Source organism: Homo sapiens, chromosome 11 (genome assembly GCF_000001405.40).
Source record: "Homo sapiens chromosome 11, GRCh38.p14 Primary Assembly".
Classification (NCBI taxonomy): domain Eukaryota; kingdom Metazoa; phylum Chordata; class Mammalia; order Primates; family Hominidae; genus Homo; species Homo sapiens.
Genome location: NC_000011.10, coordinates 113,326,333 through 113,350,214, shown reverse-complemented (window position 1 = coordinate 113,350,214; position 23,882 = coordinate 113,326,333). Strand labels below are relative to the sequence as shown.

Here is a 23,882-nt window from a genome sequence, read left to right as displayed (position 1 = left end):
CAACAAAGACTGAAGAAGAAATGTCAATTTCTATAAATAAAAAAATTACCTTTCTTCCAGAGCCAAGTCTGTGAACAGTCCCATAGCAGTGTTGGCCTCCTTATCCGAGAAATCAAGAAATGACACCAGCGCTTCCAATAATCTGCAAAAAACCATAATAACCTCAGAGGTAGCTGTCCTCCAACTAACAACATCCCAACAGGGTAACCTTGCAAGGAAACCAAAAAAGGAGTCAGCATCCGGGTGAAATAAGCAGAAAGGGTGCCTTGTCATGCCCTCCTAGGAAGCCTAGCTCCTTGCCCACCCAGAGACAGATACTCTTAAGTGGTTGGCTCCACCACTTAATGTGAATCCCCAGAATGCTGAATACTTTTAACCAAAGTTTATTGATTATCGGACGCCAGCTCAGAAGGAGTTTCTGTGACTCTGCCATGTGACTCTGGCTCAGTCAGGTTCATTAACTTAGATGACATCTAAATGGCATGCTTACTAATCTGCTGATGACTAAAGTGGGAGGGCCCCCTAATAAGGTGGGTGACGGAATAAAGATTTAACAAGATTGTGACAGGCTGCTGAATATATTAGATTAAATTTAATAGGGTTAAGCTCAAAGTCCTCCACTTAGAGCTGGAAATTCTGCTTAAGTAACAGAATTGTGAGACCTGGTTTATAACTGGTTCCTATGAGAAAGATTTAAGGATTTTTAGCCACTTACAAACACAAAATGAGCAAACAGTCTAACACAGATGCCAAAAAACACCTGATGAAATCTCAGGCTGCCCAAACGGACTTACTGGCACCATGACAATGGAAGTAAGAGTAATTTGTTCATCCAGCAAACTTGCATTAAGCATCTATAAGGTGCTAAGTATACTGTGCTCAGTACTGAGCTCCTGGTCTCCTACAGTGATACACATGTAAATAAATAAGATAAACTGTCTTAGGTGATATGTCAGAGACAGACACATGTTGAGGGGACCAGAGTCTCACTGGTGGAAGGTGTGGGCATGGAAGTGAAGAAGCCTTCAATAGATGACACTTCAGTGTCTCTTGAAGTGTAGTGTTAGCTATTCATTCGTTTATCCATTTGACCAATCACAATGAACAAGCACTGACTGTGTACCAGGCAATGTGGTCAGTTCTGAGGTCATAATGATGAAACAAGACAATGTCCTGGCTCCAGGCAGCTTGCAGGCCAGTGTCGGGCCCACAGGGATGGGTACAGAGGCATGTCAGGCAAAGCAGCCTGTAGTCACAGACTATGTGGGCATAGAATTGCAGGAGCACATTTGGGGACTGCTGGCATGCAGTTAATGCTTAGGATGTGAGGGGAGAACAGGGGATGGTAGAGAGCTGGACAGAGCCCAGATCCTGGGGGCCTTCTAGGGCCTGCTGGAAAGTCTGTACTTTGCCCTGTTGGCCCCTGTTCTCCAATGTGTGGTTGGTGGTGGGGGTCTCTGGGACAGATTCCTCAGTTACTCTGAGTGGGAGGAAGCTCCAGGAGGCTGCTTTTTTATAAAGTCCTCATGTGATTCCTAGCCATTATATTTCTCAGTAATTGGAGAACCAGCCTTACAAGGAATAGTCATTTCAGTGTGTTAAGTAGGAAAATAGCAGAACAGATGTGCATTTTAGAAAAATCCCTTCAGTGTATGGTGGAGGCTGGATTGGAGCAGGTAGTACAAGAGGCAGGAATTCAACCAGGGGAGAACTGTGATTGTCCAGATAATAAAGGCTAAGGGACCAGACTGAGGCAGCAGCAGAGTAAGAGGTACAGTAAAAACACAAAGAGACACTCATGAAGACCTGGAAGAAATGATTGGAGACAGTAGAGGAGAACTAGAAGAAAATGAATTCAGGAGATGCTAAGGAGAAAGAGCTGGCAGCATACTATCTTATGGATGTGGTGAGGGAGAGCCAGGTCACTTCCAGGACATTGGCTTAGGCGACTGGATAGGTGGAGATACCCTCTGTGAAGACAGGAAATTCAGGTAGATGAACTGGTGTGAAGACCCAATTTTGATTTATTAAGTCGATGATACTTGTGGATGTTGTGATAGAGATGTCCAGTGGCAGAAGGGCGTTTTCATCTCACACTCAACAGAGTGAGACTTACACCCTTTGCCTCTTGACGAAAGCCATGGATGGGAAGAGGGCCAAGGGTAGGATCCTGGGGTCCCTGACTTGGAAGGGTGATAGCATAGGGGGGCTTGCAAAGGAAACCACAAAGGAATAGCCAGGAGGTAGGAGAGGGGCCAGGAAGGATGGTGTCCTGACAATCACTGTGATGGAGTTTCCAGAAGAGTAGTGATCAATAGGACCAAATGCCACAGGGCAGAGAAGGGCAGGGACTTTGACCTTGACATCTTTAAGAAAGACAGATGACAGGCCATCAGATTGGGCTTTTGGGAATATGAATTCCAGTCACCCACATCTATGGTGCTGGATCTATTTAGCCACTTATTCTAGGAGTGGTCTGGAGGCCAAATCATCAAAGGAATGATGGAGGTAACAAGGATGCTTAACCTGGAATATATCAGTATTTTCAGATATCTAAAGTACTGGAAAGCTGGGAGGAGTCTGGGCCTGGGCCTCAGTGTATGGAGGCAGAATCAGCCCCAGAATAGTACGGGGCAGGCAACTTGTGCACAGTGTAAGGAGATAATTTATCTCAATCAGAACTGTCTTGAAATGGACAGTTGGCTACCTTGGGAGGTGAGATCCACAGCCTCTCGCTAATTGGGGAAAGACTTCCTCCACTCAGTCTATTAGCTGCGTTAGTGCCCATCCCGAATCAAATGGAGATTAAAAATAATGAAAACTGCTGGCATCTCCCCTGGAGGGCACCATGCACAGGCTGTATGGGGGTACGCAGAGGACATCTATGCTGAGTGGGGCTTGACTGGATGGTTTCTAAGGGCCCAGGTGACGCCAAGCTTCTGCAAATCCCTAACATCTTCAGGAATGGATTCCAGTGCTCCTGCTGTCAAAAATAATTTATTTGTTTTACAGTTAGTTCAGATTCATCCTTCACCAATTTAAACCTATTTTCTTCGGTCTTGAAGATGACTGCTAATGAACCTGAATAGCACAGATGAGACAACAGTCTAAGACCATCTTGGCTTTGTCCTGGCAGACATAAGCAGCTAGGCCCCCTCACTATGTGACAATGCACACATCCTAACTGGACTCAGCACCTAGAGAGGACGGTGTGTCCCTTTCTATTTCCTCACATACCCTCTTTTTTGGTGGCAGATTTTCTGCTCTGCTGATAAGCAGCTGTCTCTGTGAGTGAACCACAGGTGAGAAAATGCTTTCATGTAACTAATAAATGCAAGGTTACTTCAGTTTAGGACCCTAAACAATATACCCTAAGAGAAAATGATTATAAAAATATTATTGAGCCCTTATCATACCATGTGTCAGGCTTAATTGATGTTAGTTGCTTTTTTTTTTTTTTTTTCTGTAGCAGATGCTGTTTGCTGGCTAACCTCACAGATATTCTCCATTCCCTTCTATTCTTCCTAACTCTACTACAGAAGAAGTTGGGACCATTTTTTTTCCACTAGGGGTAGCATGTGACACAATTCTGTCCAAAGAGAAATAGGCAGTAGGTTTTCTTGATAAAAGGGACCGATCCAGCTGGTATTGACCTGTCTTAAAGAAGGATGTGAAGCTTGGAGTTGCAGCAAGAGGGAAGGTATGACCATGTGAGGAAGGTCAAGAGAAGGGCAGAGACTTGGACCTCGACGTCTTTAAGCCACCGCACCAATAGCTGCTATCTTTAGTCTCATTTTATTAGGTGACAAAACAAGCCAGGCTTTATTTTGCTTAAGCTCCTTTTGCTCAAGTATTCTGCACAATGCAGCAGAAAAAATTCAACTGCATCACCCCCCGTGTCATCATAAGTGAGTGATGCAGATGAGATGCCGGGGCCTGTCCATGCTAAATAACTTTCCTGGGTCACACAAGCAGAGACATGCAGGGAATTGAAACTCAGTACGCTTAAGACTAAAACCCAGCACTTTTTACAAAATGACACTGGCCCTTGGCCAGCACACATTCATGCCTTCAACCTCTTCTCTGAGGATAAACATTGTGGGAGGAATGTGATACGTGTGCTGCCGTGACGGTCAAGGGGCTATGTGCAGCAGCCCTGTCTTGCTTCAAACTGCCTCGTTTCATCACAGAGAACCCATTCTGTCTGGTTCAACTGGAGATGAACGTTAAGGAGGCTAGTGGGCATAAAAGTAAAAAGCTGAGGTTTCTCTGACTATCTTAGAGAGAGTAGGCAGGACCACCCGAGGTGATCATGAACGCCACTCTCCGAGACACTGGAAAAATGCACATTGAAGCTCAAGCAATTCAAAGATAGCTTGAGGGGAAAAGCTCATGATAGCTATAGCTACATTTACTCAAAGAGACAAAAACAATATTAAAAAAATACGATGAAGGTATCGAGGAAATGACTGCAGAGTCATTTGAAATGTGAAATGTGCTTTTGGGGAATTGAACTCCACTAACAATCTGCATCTGCCGTGCAGGCTGAGCTTCAGTGGGTTGCCAAAGCCTTTCCTGGGAGCCACTGAGGCTGCGACTGGGCCTGGAAGGGGAGCCGTAGGCAAGGCTTAATAACCATCCTGTCACGGCACACATGGACCTACATACCAAATTGGACAGTGTGGGAGGGCTCAGCAGGGTCCCAAAAAGATCTGGAAGGAACAGGAGCCAGTTGTAGCAGGTTTGGCTCCTTTTCCCACTGGGAACACAGAGCGGAGCTGGGTCCTCAGAACAGTACCTGGGGGCCAGCCTAGTTGGGTGAGATTCCCTTGGTTCCTTGCTGCAGTTCTTCCTGCCCCATGAGTGACATGAGGTAATAAAGCTTACCTTGCCTACCCCGCAGGATGAGGGGAGATAAAACAAAATAGCAGTGAATGAAAAAACTCAGAAGGGTCATCTCCTGTTTTTAGATTGTGTGAGAAACATTTATAAAGCAAGCTACAATAATTGCCACTATTTCTGTTAGATTGAACCACATAAAATGGCTGGCATGCAACCTTTTAGATCTAATAAGTGGCAATTTCATATGTTCAAACTAATCATGTAAAGATAAATAAACTGAAAACTTAGTAAGATAAAAGTAAATAAATACGTAAAACAAGTGAGCAAAATAACAAATAAATAAATGATTTAAAAAATAAACTAATAAATTATAAAGGACGGGGCAGAATCACTGTGGTTCAGTAATCTTTCTAGAAAGTCTACTTAGGGTACACACATTCTATGCCCATAGTCTTACACTTTGGAAAGACCTCCATGCAACAGTATTTGAAATGTTTTATTTATTCATACTCCATCTTGTTCCACAAAGGGTTTAAGGACACGTAGAATAAGACAGGATTACCTCAAATAAGAATGAAAGAAGAAAACGAATGGCAGGAACAGGGTAGAGATAGGACCGAGGCCAAAGACGGAGAAGCAAGTGACCTATTTTAAGGTGGGGCTCCTGATCTGGCTACGGAAGCACTGCCATTTGCACCATTTGTGGGATGGGGACGAGCCAGTTGCTCAGGAGAAGTGAAACCATCCATGGTACCAAGTTCGGACAGGAGTCTGTCCCAGAGGTCCTCATGACAGAGCACTCTTGTCAAAGGCTCTTTCTGTTATTGATCCTTCAAGTCACACAACAGAGATAGGAGGGGAGACAGGCATGCCTGAACTTGTCAAGTGATGACATGAGATGTCCCAGGAAGATCCTGCCAGCAGAGGCTTACCTGGTCAGGTCAAGGTGGTTGATGATCAGGCTCCGTCCGCTCTCAGTCTGGGCGAGATGCAGCAGCAGGGCAAAGCTCTGCTGCCGGATGGCCAGGACCTTGGAGGACAAGAGGGCGGCCAACAGCCTGGCCCTGTCATGGTGTATCACTAGCACACGCTGGTTTTCCTCTGCAAAACACAGAGGTTGTGTGTCTTGTGCATGCCATCATGGCAATTAAACTAGCTCTGTCACCCTCTATCCTAATGGGAAACTCAACTGGTGCCCACTCATTTGAAGGCAGAATAATGAAGTGTAAGAGTGTGGATTCTAGAACCAGACTGCTGGGTCCGAATGCCCAGGGGAGCGACCTTACCAATGAACTCTTGTGCTCCTCGGTCTCCTCATCAGTAAAATGAGGATTACGTTCCTACCTACAGGGACATCATGAGGATTAAATAAGTTAGTACATGACTGTGCCAGACAGGGACTGGCACCCATAAATCAACTGTGTCATTATTGTCAAACTTCCTTGGTGTGTGGTATCTGGAAACACTAGCAAAGGGAAATAAATCAGTTTAATTGTGGAACGTCTTTAGGCCATCAATATTCATACAACGGCTAGAGTAGTCATCTGAGGAAATGTTATCCAGAAAACTAGAATATCACATGAGAGCACTAACGAATAAAGTGTGCCCTCCTTCCTAGAACATAAGCTCTTCCAGGGTGGTGGCAGTCTGGTTCATTTTCTGACCAGGTACATGAATTTGTTTGAAACTGCAGGGTACAGACTGCAGTATGAGGCTAAGCTAGGAAACAGAGCAAACTGGATCTCAAAGGGGTGGGCCCCATCACTTGGACCTCATCACCCTTGGCTTTCTTCCCTCCTGTACTGATTACCCATTTACACACAGCACACGGCATCCAGTAGAAGACACACACCAGGTCTCTTCTAGCCCTGAAAGAGCCAGAGTAACAGGACTACAGGATCCTATGTGTAGCCCACATATCAAACCATGTTTTCGTTGCAAACATTACATCTCAATCCTATACTTCACCTATAATTACTCTTGTCCACGTAAGATAGGATCTACTGATTTCTGAAATGGAAAGGTCCTTGTTGATTATATATTTTGTTCTTATACTAGAAAAGTACCTTGATATAAATAATTCAAACAACACAGAGTTAGTTGATACCCCCTCCGGGTAAGCCCATTCCCCAAAGGAGCTATTATTCACCCCTCATATAAATAATGTGTAAAATATTATACATCCTACCCTGTAATTGGCTTCTCTTCTCAACTCCACAATAGATGACTGACATATTTTCATGTCCTTACTTTTAAGCATTCCCTTGCCCTTCTGAAAAACTGCTTTGCATTTATTGAGTTAGATATATCAAGATTTTATTGACCTGTGATACAGCATTTACATCACAGGTATCTGAAAATATTTTTCAGATGATAAAAAAATGTAACTTTAAGGTTCACAGAAACGATAAATAGGTTCACAGAAAGAGTAAACAGATTGTTATGTCAGATTCACACTGAGTAGACATACCATTGCCAAGTCCTGCCTTCCTCGCCCTCCTGTAGGGGAGTTTGCAAAAACACTGCCCTAAGCTGGTGCAGGGTCTTACACAGAGTAGAAAGGCACCTTGATGATGACAGTAGTCTGGGCATAACTCCCCTTAATTCTTGTCAGGAAATAGGCCCCCTGATTTTGTATTGTCTAGATTTTCAAGAGCTTAATTTCTTAAGTTCTTGATTCCTCTACTCTACTAAAGAAGAAAAAAAAAGGTATTATCTCCTACTTAACATCTCAGAGTATGCAAACTGCATTCACAAGCTCTATTGCTGGCTCCCCACAGTAGCCCTGTGAAAAGGAGACATAGCTATCATTATCCCCATTTTCAGTGTTTCTGTCCAGGGTCAAACTTTTTCCTATGAAACACACTTTTTAAAAATGACAGAAGTAAGTAAAATTTGTATTTATGTTGAAGTTACAAAAGTGATTAAGAAAGATTATACAAAAACGTAATGAACTCTGGAAGATGCAAATATTTGAAAAGCCTAAGAGTTAGCACAGTAAATAAAATGCCCATGGCATTCTACTGTCTCAATACTAGATGCTAATCAGTGTCTGAAGATATTGGCAGGGATGACTGTAAATCTCAGGATGCTGGAAAGGTACTGTGGTTAGCAAAAAGGAACAATATTTTAGGCTGACAAGAAAAGAAAAACTCCATCTACCTCATTGCCAGTGCATGAACAGAAGTCATGAGTCTGCAAAGAGCAGGAGGAGAGGAGAGAGGAGACCACTCATTATGCTGACAACCTCCTCCCTTCACCCCAACCTTGCTCCTCATCTGTCTACCTTGCTTTTGATCCATAAGCTTTCCTGGAGGGAGTGGGTGTGTGCGGAAGTCTAGACATCAGCTTTCCAGGGCCTGGCCTTTGGGGAGGACAGTCCACCCAACAGCGTAGTTCCTGCACGCAGCGCATTAATGGTGATCAACGGTGATTACCCAGGCTTACCGTTCCTGCTGCACACTGCTTGCCAGAGCTTGAGAACAGACACACAGACCATTTCTTCAACTGCATCATTTCCTGCTGTGGAAAAACACCTAGAATGGACAAAGGAGAGCTATCTTAAAAGTCTGAAAATCAGTCTTGATTTTCTTTTCCATTTGGTTTTATTTCACCCCTAGATTCACCAAATACAGGTTTGAGAAAGTATAGTTTTATAATCCAGAGCCATGGGTCACCAGGATCAATCACGGAACCATGAGTCCCAGGCCACGGATGCAGACTGAGGAAGCCAGGGCTGCACAGAGGCTGGGCAGTGAGCCAGGGCCATGGGCGATGGCTGCACTGGGACCAATGAACTGTGGCTGAGCACACAGACATGTACTGGTGACTCCAACCCACACGGGTATCCTAAGCCTCAGGAAGCACACCAGAACAACTGAAATGAAAATACAGTCACTTTAGCAAACTGCATCCTACCATACAGGTCTTTCTTCAGATGAAATTATAAATGGGATTGGCCCATTTATATTTATATCACTTCTTGATATGATCAGCAAATTCCAAAAGAAGAAATGAACAAATGACAACCTGGCAAAAACTGGTGGGAAAGCAGCAAGAATGATCATTTCTCTGACTTTGAAGAGCTTAGAGGAGCCCTGGGAAGTGCTGCTGTTCCTCTCTCTTCAATTGTTTCCTTTTTTTGAGACTGAATCTGGTTGTATCGCCTAGGCTGGAGTACAGTGGCGTGATCTCGGCTCACTGCAACCTCCGCCTCTCAGATTCAAGCGATTCTCGTGCCTCAGCCTCCTGAGCAGCTGGGATTACAGGTGCCTGCCACCATGCCCAGCTAATTTTTGTATTTTTAGTGGAGTCGGGGTTTCACCATGTTGGCCAGGCTGGTCTCAAACTCCTGACCTCAAGTGATCCGCCCGCCTTGACCTCCCAAAATGCTGGGATTACTGGCATGAGCCACCGCGCCCAGCCTCAATTGTTAGCTGCAGTGTAACTCCAATGTCTTGAGGGAAAGCACTCAAAGATGTTCGTGGAGTAGCTTTGCACTCCTGGAGAGCCCCCCACTACTGACTGAAGGGGGGTAATGTTCAGAAACGTGACTGTCTATGTGCCTCGTGTCTGATTTCATAAGCAGTGGTTATCTTCCCTTGCTTTGCTGCTGGGCTGTCTCTATGAACATCCCTACCTTCTTATGACCTCGTTGTCACTGATGATACTAAATCCATTGTGCATTCTGAATAAAGTTTGTTCTGTGCCTGAAACAGATACAAAGAAAACCACTTCAGACTCCCAAACTGGCTGGCTGGTGTCTCGCTGCAACACAGCCACCTGCTAATGAGAAACCTAATATGGAATGCCACGGTACCCACGTGAATGGTTTGGCAGGAACAAATGAACTTTACATTTTGAAACATACAATGGTCAGCAGCCTCTCAGCGTCAGAGGCCTCAGTGCCTCTCAGGCGGAGGGACTGTTTAGAGAAGGAGAGCAGAGCTGGGGTGGCCCCGAGGGCTATCTGCACAGCTCATCATTCTGTAATCTTCAGAGAGCCTCCCAGAGCTGCTTAACCTATGGGAAGTACCAGCATATCCATCTGTTCTTAAATATTTATTTCAAAGCTATTTCCAAGCTCCAGAGAGGAATTTATAATCTCCAAGAAACTGCTGAAGGGGATATTTGTGTGCCCTCCATTGTACACTAAAGAGAAGTCAGACACTCCATCTATTTGTACAAACAACATGCTGTCACTGAGTATAGAGATTATTTAAGCCTTGGTAACAATGTTTACAAGAGCTAGTAAAAGAGAACAGTATGGCCCTCATTAGTAGGAGAGCTGATGTTTGCTCTGAAACCATTTTCACATCCTATGCAGCCATTAACTGTAACTGGGTGAACCTTACAGTTTAACCTACAAAATTCTGTCTTCCATTCCTCCACAGTGGAGGGAAGGTGTACGAGGTGGTATGGGATGCTTGAGGTGTCTGTGGGGGTATGTGTGGAGTACACGCAGGATGTGCATGGGGTGTGTGGTGAAAATGTGAGGGTGGAGTGTGCGCAGGATATGTGGACTGACATGAGTACTTATGGTGTGAGTGTGCTGTGTGTGGTATGTGGTGTGTGTGTAATACAAGGATATATTCAAGTGAGTGAAAGCTGAGTGCATGTGTGGTGTATGTAAGTATATATCGAGTGTGTGCCACGTGTACGTGTTGTGTTGTGTATGTTTATTGCATGTGTGCTGAGTGTACGCATGCTCTGTAGAGAGGATGGAGCAGAAGTCGGAGGACATTTCTTGTGCACCCCTTTTAGCAGCTACATTAGCGTATATCTTTAATCAATATTTGTGGAAGGAAGGGAGGGATTCTTGGCCTGGTAAAGGCAGACCTCTGAATGTGTCCCTTCACACTGACAGCACTCATGAGATCACACACATCTCTGGCTTACACTCATTTATCATTTCAGTCAGGATCTCAATCCCCCCAGCATAGAACAAGGGGATCTGGTCAGGCTTGGAAAGGGTCTCCAGGAGGTTCTTGGTGGTCACGGCTGTGTTCTTTCCTGAATCCAGCAGTTCGTGGGCTTCCTTTTCTTGAAGGTCTGCTTTTTCCTGAAGATCTACTTGATTCAGGTAACCTAGAAAAACAAGAAAGGAAAGCAAAACAAAACCCTAACAATCAACAATACCACACAAGAAGCAACCTTTTTTTTTCCTTTCTTTTGAGGATGGGAGTTTGAGAAGCATAAAGCATTAAAATAATTAAAACTCTTCGTTAGCAAGGAAAATTTTAGAAACAGTCTAAATCTACAACCAGAATCTTAAACCTTGTTGGGGATTCAAGGGAGTCTAAAAGTGTCTAAGGGAGGATGGTGTAGAAAATGAAGAAGGAAAATATTACTATTTGCAAGGGAGCACAGCAAACAGAGGAGCAGAGTGGGCTGGTTAACACAGAGGACCCAACTGTGCAGGAAAGAGGATCCGCCGCTGCCTAGTGGCCAAGGGCAGTGAAAGCACGGAAGGCATTCTAAGGCAGGGGGCAGAGGGAGGTGGAGTTCAGATGAAGGACCTCAGCAGGAACGTGCTCACCTTTCACCTGGGTTTGCAGCTTGGGGTTTATTTCTAAGATCTTCTTATAACACTCTCTAGACTGGAAAAAAGAAACAAGACCTTGAAGAGTGGTTGGGGTAAAGGTGATTATGAGAAAGACACTGGGTGTCATTGGGCTTGGCTGCTTCATTATTTTCTCCTCACCTCCTCCTGCTCCCAGTGCAGGAGACAGGCATAGGAACACAATGTGCATTTGACATTTTTGTTCAGGCGTCTCCAGTTCTAGGGGGCAACAGGAATTATTTCAAAATTAGTTTTAAAGAATTTTAGATGCTCATGATGAAAAATATCCAGTCCTAAATTCTTGTGGATCATGTCTGTCTGGGATAGAAATAATCATAAAGTAAACGCAAAACTTAGATATGATATTTGCACTGAGAAAGGAGGCTGTCAAATATGTCCATATGGAGTTAGGAAATAAATGAAGCTAGAGGCAATGTTGACAGAGACTTGGGAACAGGAAAAGAGAACTGCCTAGTTAAATGTACAAGCTGCGAAGAGAACCGGTAAGGGATCCATTTATTGGCCACATAAGAGTCAGCTGGAAAACTCAAGAGTGAGGGCTTCTCATTGAGGAAACTGCTAGATAGAAAGTTACCAGAAAAAGGAAGATTCTAGTTCATAGGATTCCTGGGCTTAGGGCAGTATTTCTCACAAGAATATAAGAACTGCCCAGAGTATAATCTAACTAGTCACCTAGAGAAAACGCTCAGAAAACAACAACAACAACAACAACAACAACAAAACAGTTCTGAGATAATCTTGAAGGTTCAAGGTTCATCTAGAAGACTAGAGTTAAGAAACAAACTGAAGGAAAACAATAACACATTAAAGTAGAGAACAGTGTCGCAGGAACAGAAGTCTATATATCAGAGTGACCCTGTATCCAACTTCTCTTCAACCCTAGATCTAATCTAGCAACAATTTTTGTTGGCTTCACTGTCAGTAAATATCCCAAATCCCACCACTTCTTACCACCTCCATCACCACCAACCTGGTCCCCATCACCACCTCTTGCTTGGATATTTATTGCAATAGCCTTATCACTCATTCTCTGTTCTTATCTTACCATGCCAAAACACATGCTCGGCATGGCAGTCAGAGTAATCCTTTAAAATATGTCAGATCATTTAATTCCTTTACTCAAAATCCTTCAATAAAGCTTGAAGATCACTCAAAGTAAAAGCCAAAGTCCTTTGAAAAGCCTGTAGGGCCCTATAGGATCAGCCCCTTCTCTACCCTTATCACCTGTTTGACCTCATCTCCTGTTGCTCTCCTCTTGCTGGCTGCATTCTAGCTATCCCTCCACCAGGAACTTATTCCCTTATATATCCACATGGTTTGCTCACGTCACTCCCTCCATTCCTTTAGAAAGCCTTTTCTTACCCCTCTATATAAAACCAGTCTCATCTTTACTGCTTCCTGATTTTTCTCAATGCTACTTACCACTACCTAACATAGTACATGTAACACACTACACATCTATTTGATTGTTTTTTGTCTCCTGGTCACCCTTACCCCAAGAACATGAGTTCCATGAAGCCAAGGACTTTGTCTAGTTTCACTGATGTATTCTTTATTGCCTGTATTAACAGTGTCTGACACATAGAAAGCATGCAATAAATATCTGCTGAATGAATGAATTGAATGAGTAAATAAAAATTGGTGGACAGGGAAAGATTAACATTTTCTTTATTCACATTTCTTTTATTTGGCTTTATTACAATAAGCCTGTATTACATTTACAATTAAAGTCCAACAAACTTTTAAAAAATGTACAATATGAAGCAATTTATTTTAAAGACATATCTTATAAATGGGAAGACATCCTATGTTCATGGATAGGAGGACTTAATATTGTTTAGATAGCAGTACTTGCCAAATTGATTTATGAATTCATGTAATACCCATCAAAATTCCACCTGGTTTCTTTGCAAAAATCGACACGATAATCTTGAAGTTCATATAGAAATTTGAGAGCACCAGAATAGTTAAAACAATCTTGAAAAAGTAGAGGAACAAAGTTGAAGGCTCTCACTTCTCAACTTAATACAAAGCTACAAAAATGAAGACACTGTGGTACTGGCACAAGGACAGACATGTAGATCAATGGAATAAAACTGTAAGTCCAAAAATAAACCCATATATTTATGGTCAATTGATTTTTGACAAGGGTGCCAAAATCACTCAATGGTAATGGGACAAGTAGACATCTACAGGCAAAAGAATGAAGTTGAACCCTTACCTCACATCATACAAAAAATGAACTCAAAATGGATTGGAGATAGCTAAATTTAAGAGCTAAAGCCATAAAACTTTTAGAAGAAAATATAGGTATACATCTTCCTGACCTTGGATTAGATGATCTTTTCTTAGATATAACACCAAAATCACAAGCAACCAAAGAAAAATAGGTAATTGAGGCTTTATCAAACTTAAACATTTTTGTGCCGCAAAGAACATCATCAAGAAAATGAAAAGGCAATACAAGGAGTGGAAGAAAATATTTGGAAATCATGTATCTGATAAGAAACTTGTATTCAGAATATATAAATAACATTTACACCTCATTATAAAAGAAGATATTTCTCCAGAGAAAATATATAAATGGCCAACAAGTACATGAAAAGATCCTCAACATCATTAGTCACCAAAAAAATGCAGATCAAATACCACAATGACATATCACTTCACACCCACTAGAATAGCTATAATAAAAAAATAAGTAACAAGTATTGAAGAGGATGTGGAAAAACTGGAACCCTCATACACTACTGGTAGGAATGTAAAATTCTGCAGCCATTTTCAAAAACAGTTTGGTAGTTCCTCAAAAGGTTAAACATAGAGTTACCATACGGCCCTGCTATTCCACTTCTAGATATATACCCAAGAGGACTGTAAACATAAAAAAGAAAACCCTGCACATGAATGTTCATAGCAGTGTTATTCATAGCAGGCAAAAAGTGGAAACAACCCAAATGTCCATTAACTGATGAATAAATAAATAAAATATGGTATCAAACAATGGAATATTATTCAGCAATAAAAAGGAATGAAGAACTGATACACACTACAACAAAAATGTACCAGGCAAACATTATACTAAGTGAACAACCTCAGTTACAAAAGACCACAGATCGTATGACTCTATATGGAATCTACAGAACGGGCAAATGTATAGAGACAGAAAGACTGATGGTTGCCTAACGTTGAGATGGGGTTGGGGGAAGGGGACTGACTACTAATGGGTATGGGGTTTTCCTAGGAAGGGATGAAAATTTTTTAAAATTGATTGTGGTGATGGCTGCCTGACTCTGTGAATATACTAAAAACTATTGAATCATATAGTTTTTAGTATATTCTACAGATGAATTGTGTGGTATGTGAATTATATCTCAATAAAGCTACTTTTAACGATATATAATATCTTAGCATGGATAAATAGGTAGATAGACAGGTTGACTGATCTGCATGGTTACTTTTGGGTGATGAGGTTACAGCAAATTTTGTTTTCTCTTTTTGCTCAGGTCTTTTCTCTCCACAGACTGAACAAACACTGGTAGAGGATGTTGCAGAAGAGAGTCCTACAGCTGGTGGAGTTGAACTAACTGACACCCAAAATTCTTCCCAACTTTAAGATCTTGAGCTTTACCTTGGAAAATACTAAAGGATGGATTAATACCTAATCAGCTTGGAGAATCATGGTTCTCCTCTAGCACAACTGGGAGCATCAGTCTGTGATCAAACATGTCAATTACATTCCTCTAAGAACTTACCACACTGTAGTTCTTCAGGGCCAGGTTGGCTTTTCCCATGTGAAAATATGCTTTTGTGCATTTTTCATCACACTGCATAAAAGAGAATGACTGATCAGAAGTTTTAGAAGATGTGAAGTCATTAGCCACTCCCCTCACTATACAGCTAAAAGAGTTAAGGCGAAACTTTGATTCTCAGGGCAACTACCAGAGTTGACAAAACTTTTTTATGCATTTGTGACCAAACTAATTGATGCCTGCAAGGAGCCTGGATGCAGCAGCAAGCTCTTCACCAAATTAATTAATGATACCTGCCAGTTTTCATTTCCATTTAATGAGATGCAATCAGGAAGCAAACCCTCAGTTTAGAAGAGCTCTTAACACTGGCAGAACATTAGAATCATCTAGGATGCTTGTAAAAATCCTGCCGGCCCTGCACCCCATGTCAATTACATTATACTCTGGGATAAGACCCAGGCATCAATAATTTTTTAAGCTCTCTAGGTGAGGTAAATGTGCAGGCAAGTTTGAGAGTCACTGGTTTACTAGAAGAGAAGAGAACTTACTCTAAGAAAACAGCTGAGGTTACCATTATATCTTAGTGGACCTGGGAAGTCCCTCCTCCCAAATAAACCACAACATGTGTACTGGGACCTTCTGTTCATATTACTTAAGATCAGTAGGGATGCCCCCTTCAAAAGGCAGGATTGAAACTTATGGCTGAAACTAGACCATTTACACAGGAGGCCCTGCACCTGCCTGCCCCTAGTTGTTCTAACTCCACAGGGAATGATTTGACAGAGACATACGCTAAATCTAAGACATCCAGTTGATGAACATTTATTGAACTTCTTTTATATGCAAGACATTGTGCCAAATCAGATGCCCTTCAAAGGTTTAGATATGAAGAGGTTAAGAGTTCAAGCTCGGGAGTCTAAAATGTCCCGGGGTGGATCCTTGTTCTGCTACTCAGCAGAAGTGGCGTGTTGTTGGCCAGGCCGCCTAACTTTTCTGACACTCATTTTCCTGACCTAGAAAATGAAGACAATAATAGTATCTCTCTCAGGTTGTTGTGAGAAAGAAATTATGTAAAACACTTGGTGTGGCTCTGGGTAACAGAGTATTAGCTGCTATTGCTGCAGTTATATCAGCAGCAATTCATTTCGGAGCAAAAGAGAAAATCTAAATTTAATAAAAGAGCAATAATAATAAAAGAGAGAAGAATAACAACAATAATAAAAGAGAGAACAATAATTGTTGGAGAAGCTTTTAGAGATACACTTTTGTGTATATCATTTCTCAATTCACTGCTAAGTGAATGGAAGTCATAATAAAAATAAATGTGCATGATTGTTCAGCCCAAACCATGTGCCAGGCACTGAGCTTTATGGTTCATATGGATGATCTCACAGAAGCTTTATAACAACTCTATGAAGCAGATACAGTTATTATCCCTATCTTATAGATGTGAAAACTAGGGGTTGGAGAGGCCCAAGGTCACACAGATAACAAGCGGAAGAGCTGGAATTTGAAATCTGGCCATTAAACTCTCAAGGGTTTAAAAATGACACCAAATCTCCTTCAGAAAGGTGCTACAGAAAAAAGCATATAAATGCTACAGAAAATGCTACTGAAAAAAATCAATGGAAGAAAATATTCTCTAAAATGCAGTCTTTAAAAGGGCATGCAAAGGAGGGATCTGGGCTGAGTCTTAGTGACACAGAGAGGTGAAGAGAGGAGGATGGAGGGAGAGTGGGCTGGGCAAGAACCTGAGTGAGGAGAGTATAGGGGGCTCCGGGGACGGTCCAGCTGGGATCGAGGGGCAGGTGCAGGGTGGAGAGCAGACCCCATCTTGAGCTAAATGGCAACACCATATGGTAGCCTTGCATGCCACACTGGAGGAGGGTGAGTCACCAATGGCAGTGTGGAGGTAAGCTGGTAGGAAGGTGGCACGCAGACATGATCAGAGGAGGGAATGGCTGAACAAGAGGTATGGTGGGCTGAACAATGAGAGATGAGTAAGGAGACCAGAACAATCACTTAGAACAAGGGCTAATATCTGAAGTCCTGGTGAGAGTGGGAGGGAAAGGATGCCAGAGCTATGTCAAAGAAAGATCTGACCAGCATCAACTAACTATCAATGATAAGGGATATGGAGGATGTGAAGTCAAAACCACGGGCCTAGATACCTGAAAGACATGGTGTGTCATTAACGGAAAGAGGTCAGCTAGGGCAGGGAGTGGGAAAGTCTGAGTGAGAAGATGAAGAGTTGGCTTCTAGACATACTGAGTTTCAGATGACATCAAGACTATCAAAAGGCACCTGCAGGAGGCAGCTGACATGCAGCCCTGGAGCTGGGGAAGGGGAGACTGGGGAAGTAGGTCTGAGAGCCTTTTGCAGAGATGAGAGTTGAGCCCATGAGAGGAGAAGAGAGCTGTAAGGGAGTAACTGTAGAGAGACGAAAGACGGGGAGCAGAGGGGTGACCCCTCATGAATTCACAAAGGATAAAATTGAGGAAGCAGGAAAGGAATGGTCAAAGGGAAAAGAGGAAACTCTAGCACTTCAGCTCATGAAAGCCAAATATTCACAGTGCATTCACTGGCAGAGCACCGGGGTTACAGCAGGCGGGGGAAACCGAGCCCCAAGCATTAAAGCCTTGTCCCCCAGCCTATCGTGTGTCACCGTGAAGTGCAGATAGTTGTGACTTTGCCTTCCTCAGACAATGACGCAAAAGGCTACTAATGGATTTTTCTCACGAATAGGCCCACTCTCCTTTGATCATGTGTCGACCCTCACGAGAATTTTCTTGGGTGAACCCCAGCTTCCCTTTAAAGGAATCCTGCCTTCAGAGGAAGATGTATTTCATTGTGCAAGAAGTGTTCTGCTGAGAAAGAAATGATTCTGGTCCTAATTGAAACCAGCTTTGCTGCCTTATCTTCCTTGACAAGAAACATCAGTCTTGAAATATCATCACATAAGCTTGTCTCTACCAATTTAAAAGTGTCCAAAAAGATTAAATTGGCATGAAAGTACTAATACTATTAGTAATGGAGTGCCAGTGACATTCACTATTGATACATTAATTTTAAAGAGAGCAAAAGCTTTTCTTTTAATTCACAGCTGCAACATAAAACAAATCATTATTAGTTTTTAGAACTCTTTGTACATTTTTTTTTCTCATTTCTCCAAGTGTTTACCCAATCTCTTCAACTGGGAGCCTCGCTGGGCATTTAACAAGATTGGCTGCTGAGTGTCAGTGTTTTTTAATGTCAGCTCCATTGGGCCTGCTTGGCCTCGGTTTCACCGTTAATTACATTGTACTTCAATTAACATTTGGGAACAGGCCAGCCTGTTATCCTGAATCAGCATGATGGTATGTCTGCCCCTTTGGCCTTTTTCAGATCAGAAAAGATACTCTTGGTGAACCTGTGAGGAGATCGTGTTTCTTCCATAGAAGGGAATGACATCCACACCCAGGGATTACGGGGTTTAAAGTTGCAGTGGAGAGGCCCTTTATAGAGGTTTAAGAGCAAGGGCTTAGAGTTAGACAGACACTAGCTTCATGATCCTGCACAAGTTACTTAATCAATCACTGAGGCTTGATTTCCTTGTCAGAAAAATAGAGAAAATAGTGACACTGAACAGAACAGAATAGAATTTCGTGAGCATGCAGCAAATGATGTTGTTTGCTGTTATTACTGGAAAAACCAAGGAAAACATCCTTGCCTCTCTCTTCTCCTGCAGAATAATGGTAGAAAAATAAACCATTATCAAGCAAGGCGACAAAGCAGGTTAGTGGATCTATGATGGAGCTGTGAGGAGCTTGACGTCATCAGCTTTGGGCAACTCTTATAACTTAAAGACTATACCTGTGCAATGGGACAAAATTTGCCACACATTTTATCTTCTAAGGGATAAAGAAATTGGATACTCCAGATGTCAGTGTTAGAGGATCCCTAGTGTTTTATGAATGATTATAAGCAGAGGTGACTTTCTCATTCATCTCTGTTTCCTTTGCTTACCCTCTCAATAAGAAATAAAGCAGATATGGCCAGTATGCTGCTAGGGAAGTGTCCTCTTGTTTTGGGACATACTCATTAGGCTAGGGTAGGTGTGCTGTACCCAAGAATTGAAGCCACAGGATAAACCTGGCACATTCTCCTGGTACCTCAATTTTACTTGATTCTAAGTTATTGAAAATCATGCTGTTATATCAAAACAAAGATAAGTTTTATGAAGTGCTGTGCAAAATTAACAAGGTTTTTCAGGTAAAACACACATCTTAAAAGAAATTTCATGCTTTCTGCTTCTAGTCCCTCTCGAGGGGCTCATGTTCATTCTCCTCTGCTGTTAGCAGCATAGTGCAGAAGTCTGAGAAGCACTAGTTTTGGTTACTTAGTTAAAACCCCCGTGACAGAGTACTTTAGGGGAATGTGGATTAAGGGTTACTTAAATATTTGGTCATGTCCCTAAAAAGTGATCGTATTATTTCTCTTTTAGTAACTCTTAACATTTCCACCAATAGTCTTTATGTCTATGCATCCTTGACCATCTATTTTGGCAGATTTCAGAGGAAATGCCATGTGTAGAATTATTTTATCTGCTCAAGGCCTGACTAAAGTTGAAAAATAGGAATTCTTTCTTCTGATTATTCCTCTACAAATAGAGGATGTTATATTTCCAAATTACTAGGGCTGGAGGGAAAAAACACAAACTGACAAGGAAGAACAGCATTGCAGAAATAAGCTCCAATGGCTGGCTCTAGAAGACAGAAGGAGGCATTTCCACTACCACATAGAACCAAGTGTCTGATAACACAATAGTAAAGAAGGAGCTGAAGTAAAATAAGACATTGAAACTTCAATAGCAGCAGCTCCCTGGATTGCTTTCTAGGAACTAGGCACTTTCTGTGCATTGTCGTGACCCTCCTAACAATTCTATTCTATCCCATTCTACAGATGAGGAAACTGAAGCTCTGGCTACAGAGGCTATACCCTTTCCTATCTTGATACACTGGCAGCTGCCTTCTATCTACTTCAGCCCAACACTATCATGTGGGAAAAGAAATACCCTCTTACCTTGAGAGCCCACTCACAATCCACCAGTGCCTTCTCATAGTCCTCAAGTTTCATATAAGCCTGTAATGAAACCAACAGCTGATATTCACACACAATTCTGCATCAGGCAGTTTTCAGTTCACACAGAAAGAACATTCGAACAGTAGAATGTCAGCGAGAACTATCCCCTACCTGGATCAGTCATGGTCCTGCCAGGAAACAGATGGCACACTTGCACTGGGCAACTGAGGAGAGTTGAATACAGGGACCTCTTCCACGGTGAAGGCAGGGCTTAGGGAACCTGACAAGGGATGCTACAGAATCGCAGGGCTAGCAACAGTGGACAGCCATTACCACTGCTGTAATGGAAGGGGCAGAAGGAGGGAGCAATGAACAAAATGTGGGAGGACAGCTCTGCGAAAAGAACTGCCTGACATGAGCTGAGGCCTTCACCAGAGCCGAAGGCCAGGAGAATAAATACCCCAATCTCACTTTTCCTCCTTCCTTCTCATTTTATTGGCTGAATGCAAATGGAAGCTAGAGGGCTAGGAAGCCAAGGAGCCAGTCCACACAGGTCAGCCCTCCAGGGCACAAAGCAGGGAAGGATCTAGAGGGACAGAGAAAATACCCAGCTCACTAGCCACATCCAAGAAGGAAGAGCTGGATTCTGGAGTCTACCCTGCTGTGAATGTTCCAGAAAAACACCAAATGATAAAGGGGATAAAAAAGACAGATAATTAGAGCTCTCATACACTGCTGGTGGGCATTAAAATGGCACAGCCCATCTGGAAGATAGCCTGGAAGTTCTTCAGAAGGTTAAATATGTTACCATATGACCCAGTAATTTTACTCCTAGGTATATACCAAAGAAGAATATAAATATACATCCATACAAATGCTTACACATGAATGTTCATAGCAGAATTATTCATGATAGTCAAAAGGCAACAATCCAAATGTCCATCAGTGATGAAGGGATACATAAAATATGGTATATCCACACAATGGAAAATTATTCAGCAATAAAAAGAAATGAAGAGGAGTTGATACATACTATAACATGGATGAATCTTAAAAGCATTACGATAAATGAAAGAAGCCAGTCATAAAAGGACAAATGTATGATTTCATTTATATAAAATGTCCAGAACAGACAAAGGTATAGAGACAAAAAGTAGATTGGTGATTATCTTGGGCTGGGAGTAGTAATGGGAGGATTGGGGGAGTTGACAGTTGAAGATGGAGCTTTTTTGGGGGATGATGATGAAATGTTCAAAAATTGATTGTGATGGTTGCACAACTCTGTGATTATACTAAAATTCCATTAAATTGTGTACTATAAAAGGGTGAACTGTATGGTATGTGAATTATATCTCAATAACGCTGTTATCAAAAGATAATAAAGCTCTGCTTCTGTCCTCCCGAGCACAGCAGAAAAAAAAAATGAAAGAAGTAGAGTGACATATGAGAGTCAGAGCATCACCATGAAGCCTTAGTATCAAATGCCTGGGGCACTCTTTTAGAATCCCCTAGAATTGGGGAAAATCTTGAAAATCAAGAATTGACTCAGAATTCCGTGATCCATTCAAACTGAACTGATTGAGAACTTAGTTCAATGTTTCTAAGGACTAGAGGAATATAAACAAATGAAAGACTATAAACAAGCACAATGGCTACTATAACCTCTCTATTAATTACTGGACACAGTAAGTGGTCAATAAAGTCTTATCAAATTGCACTAAGTAACTCTGAAGCACTCTTCTTCTGGAAAGCTCCCTGAGAGGCAGCATCGATCATCCCATTTGTACGAAAGGATAGCCAAGCACCAGGAGTGGTGGCTTTTCCAGGGTTCCATCAGCAACCAATAATAAAGCCAGTACTACACATAGGATTGTCCATGATCAAAACTGTACCAGGGCACTGCAACACAATCTTAACAACGAACCTCATGAGATACTTACATGGACAAGCCAATTGTGGGGTCAATGTTGCAACTCACAGGGAATCCAAGTATCCAACCCAAGTGAGGAGGGAGTAGGCAACAGCCAGCAAATGAATTGAAATCATGCCGCTCTTGGCTCCCATAGCAAGGAAGCTGCGAGTGGTGCTTTCATTAACTCATGTTCTGTACTAATTAGAGAAGACGACTCTTTGAGCTATCTGTTCTGTAAAGCATCATCCTTTTCTCCAGGGTCTCAGGTTTCATTTGAAAATTAGAGGATGTGAAGAGGAAGCTGGCATCATTCTAGACAGCTGTGGCCATGATTTCATGGCACTATTATTTAGGATACATGCAGACTCTGAAGAAGTCTTTATGGGTTCCAACAATTTCTCTACACAGCCTTTTACTTTTTTTTTTCTTTCTCTCTTAAGGCTTGGATTAAACACCCTATAACTTCCTCAATCTCTTTTGCTTTTGCACATTTTAAAAAGGAACTACTTTTTCCAAACAGCAATTAAACTCCAGATTTATCTAAATTATACCGGCAATCTATTGATCATAACATTAACTCCAGGGGAAAAACAAAGCAATGAAAGGTTAGGTTTTCTCTCTAGCAAGCAACACTCAATTTACAGGGTCCTTATTAAGTGTTTTCTGACACTGCATGCATACAGGGGAAGCATTTTAAAAATAGTCAATGGTTCAAACGGTTTGTAACACCAGGGAGCACATTGTCCATTATTTTGTCTCTGCATAAGCTTTCTCCTTGGGAAAGCTGAGAGGAATCACTCCCTCAAACCTTTTCATTACATTTCCTTATATTTATCCACATTCATTCTTAATGTGATTCTTCAGAACTAATCAAAGTGCTGCTTAAAAATGAGTGCAGTGAAAATATAATTTAGATGAATCAGAGTATAGACAGTCTGAATTAGATATGTCTGAAATTATATAACTTTTTTAAAGCAATTCAATTTTGTTGCTTTCAAATAATTTCAGAGTAACACAACTGAATAAGCATCAGTAGGCAGATGTTTTTAGAGACCAAATTTGGTAATAAATAAGAAGGAACTATAATTATTCTATTAATTGCTTGCATTTAAGTGATGCCTCTGAATTGTCAACAGAAACTTAACTCCCTTAATTGGACTTATTGTGCTTTTAACGTTATGTAACTAAAAAAGGATTTATTGAACATCTGCTATAAATAAAGCATTAGGGGAAAAAGTATATGGCAGTTTTTGCCCTCAAAAAGTTTATAATCTTGTTCGGGTAATGCAATGTACTGCTAAATCAACCTCTGGCCATCTTTTTTACCGATTCACTTCCTTATAACAAGTTTTCTCCAAAATTGGGATAGTTTAAATGACACTTCAACTCTAGTCTAACATATCCAAATTGCTAAACTAGTGAGATTATACTGCTTGGATTTATTTATCATTAAGTCACTGTCACTCCCCATATGTTTCGGCTTCCGAATGTCCTGTTTCTTGCTTCCAGTCCTCTTCCTCAACATCCCAGAGCCAGACATTCTTAAACTCGAGTTAGGGAAATTAGAGCTGATGAGGACTCTGCTGAGCCTCTCCCTCTTGCAAATGACAGGGCATCAAGTCCACCTCACACAGGTCCTGCTGACATATTCTGACCATGGGGTAATCATGTCCATGAATCTGCCAATTTTTCAGGCCTGTCCAGCAGAGAACTCTACCACACAAAAACTAAACTA

General features: G+C 41.9%; 1 protein-coding gene across 9 annotated transcripts in view, besides 2 other annotated features; it reads right to left on the bottom strand.

Moving 5' to 3' along the window:
- Positions 1-23,882, bottom strand: part of TTC12 (tetratricopeptide repeat domain 12) — a 58,715-nt gene that overhangs the window by 23,083 nt on the left and 11,750 nt on the right. For 5 of the 9 annotated variants that reach the window (NR_147891.2, NM_001378064.1, NM_001378065.1 and 2 more), the window contains 8 exons: positions 20,236-20,295; positions 15,178-15,249; positions 11,381-11,441; positions 10,741-10,929; positions 9,482-9,551; positions 8,290-8,378; positions 5,775-5,943; positions 50-142 (listed from right to left, as the gene is read on the bottom strand). Coding sequence is in view for 6 of the 9 variants with exons in the window: in NM_001378064.1 (NP_001364993.1) it covers positions 50-142; positions 5,775-5,943; positions 8,290-8,378; positions 9,482-9,551; positions 10,741-10,929; positions 11,381-11,441; positions 15,178-15,249; positions 20,236-20,295 (803 nt within the window). In the remaining 3 variants the exon portion in view is untranslated. Of the gene's footprint in view, positions 1-49; positions 143-5,774; positions 5,944-8,289; positions 8,379-9,481; positions 9,552-10,740; positions 10,930-11,380; positions 11,442-11,545; positions 11,624-15,177; positions 15,268-20,235; positions 20,296-20,406; positions 20,574-23,882 lie in introns of all 9 variants that reach the window. The other 4 variants (NR_165392.1, NM_001378063.1, NM_001318533.2 and 1 more) reach the window with 4 other exon arrangements.
- Positions 5,045-6,244: an enhancer, noted in NCBI's record as "MED14-independent group 3 enhancer chr11:113214693-113215892 (GRCh37/hg19 assembly coordinates)". NCBI's record gives its function as "activates an origin of replication core promoter dependent on BRD2, BRD4, P300/CBP and CDK7 cofactors, and independent of MED14, by STARR-seq in HCT116 cells {active_cell/tissue: HCT116}" and the evidence as "EXISTENCE:reporter gene assay evidence [ECO:0000049][PMID:35650434]".
- Positions 17,434-18,633: an enhancer, noted in NCBI's record as "BRD4-independent group 4 enhancer chr11:113202304-113203503 (GRCh37/hg19 assembly coordinates)". NCBI's record gives its function as "activates an origin of replication core promoter dependent on BRD2, P300/CBP, MED14 and CDK7 cofactors, and independent of BRD4, by STARR-seq in HCT116 cells {active_cell/tissue: HCT116}" and the evidence as "EXISTENCE:reporter gene assay evidence [ECO:0000049][PMID:35650434]".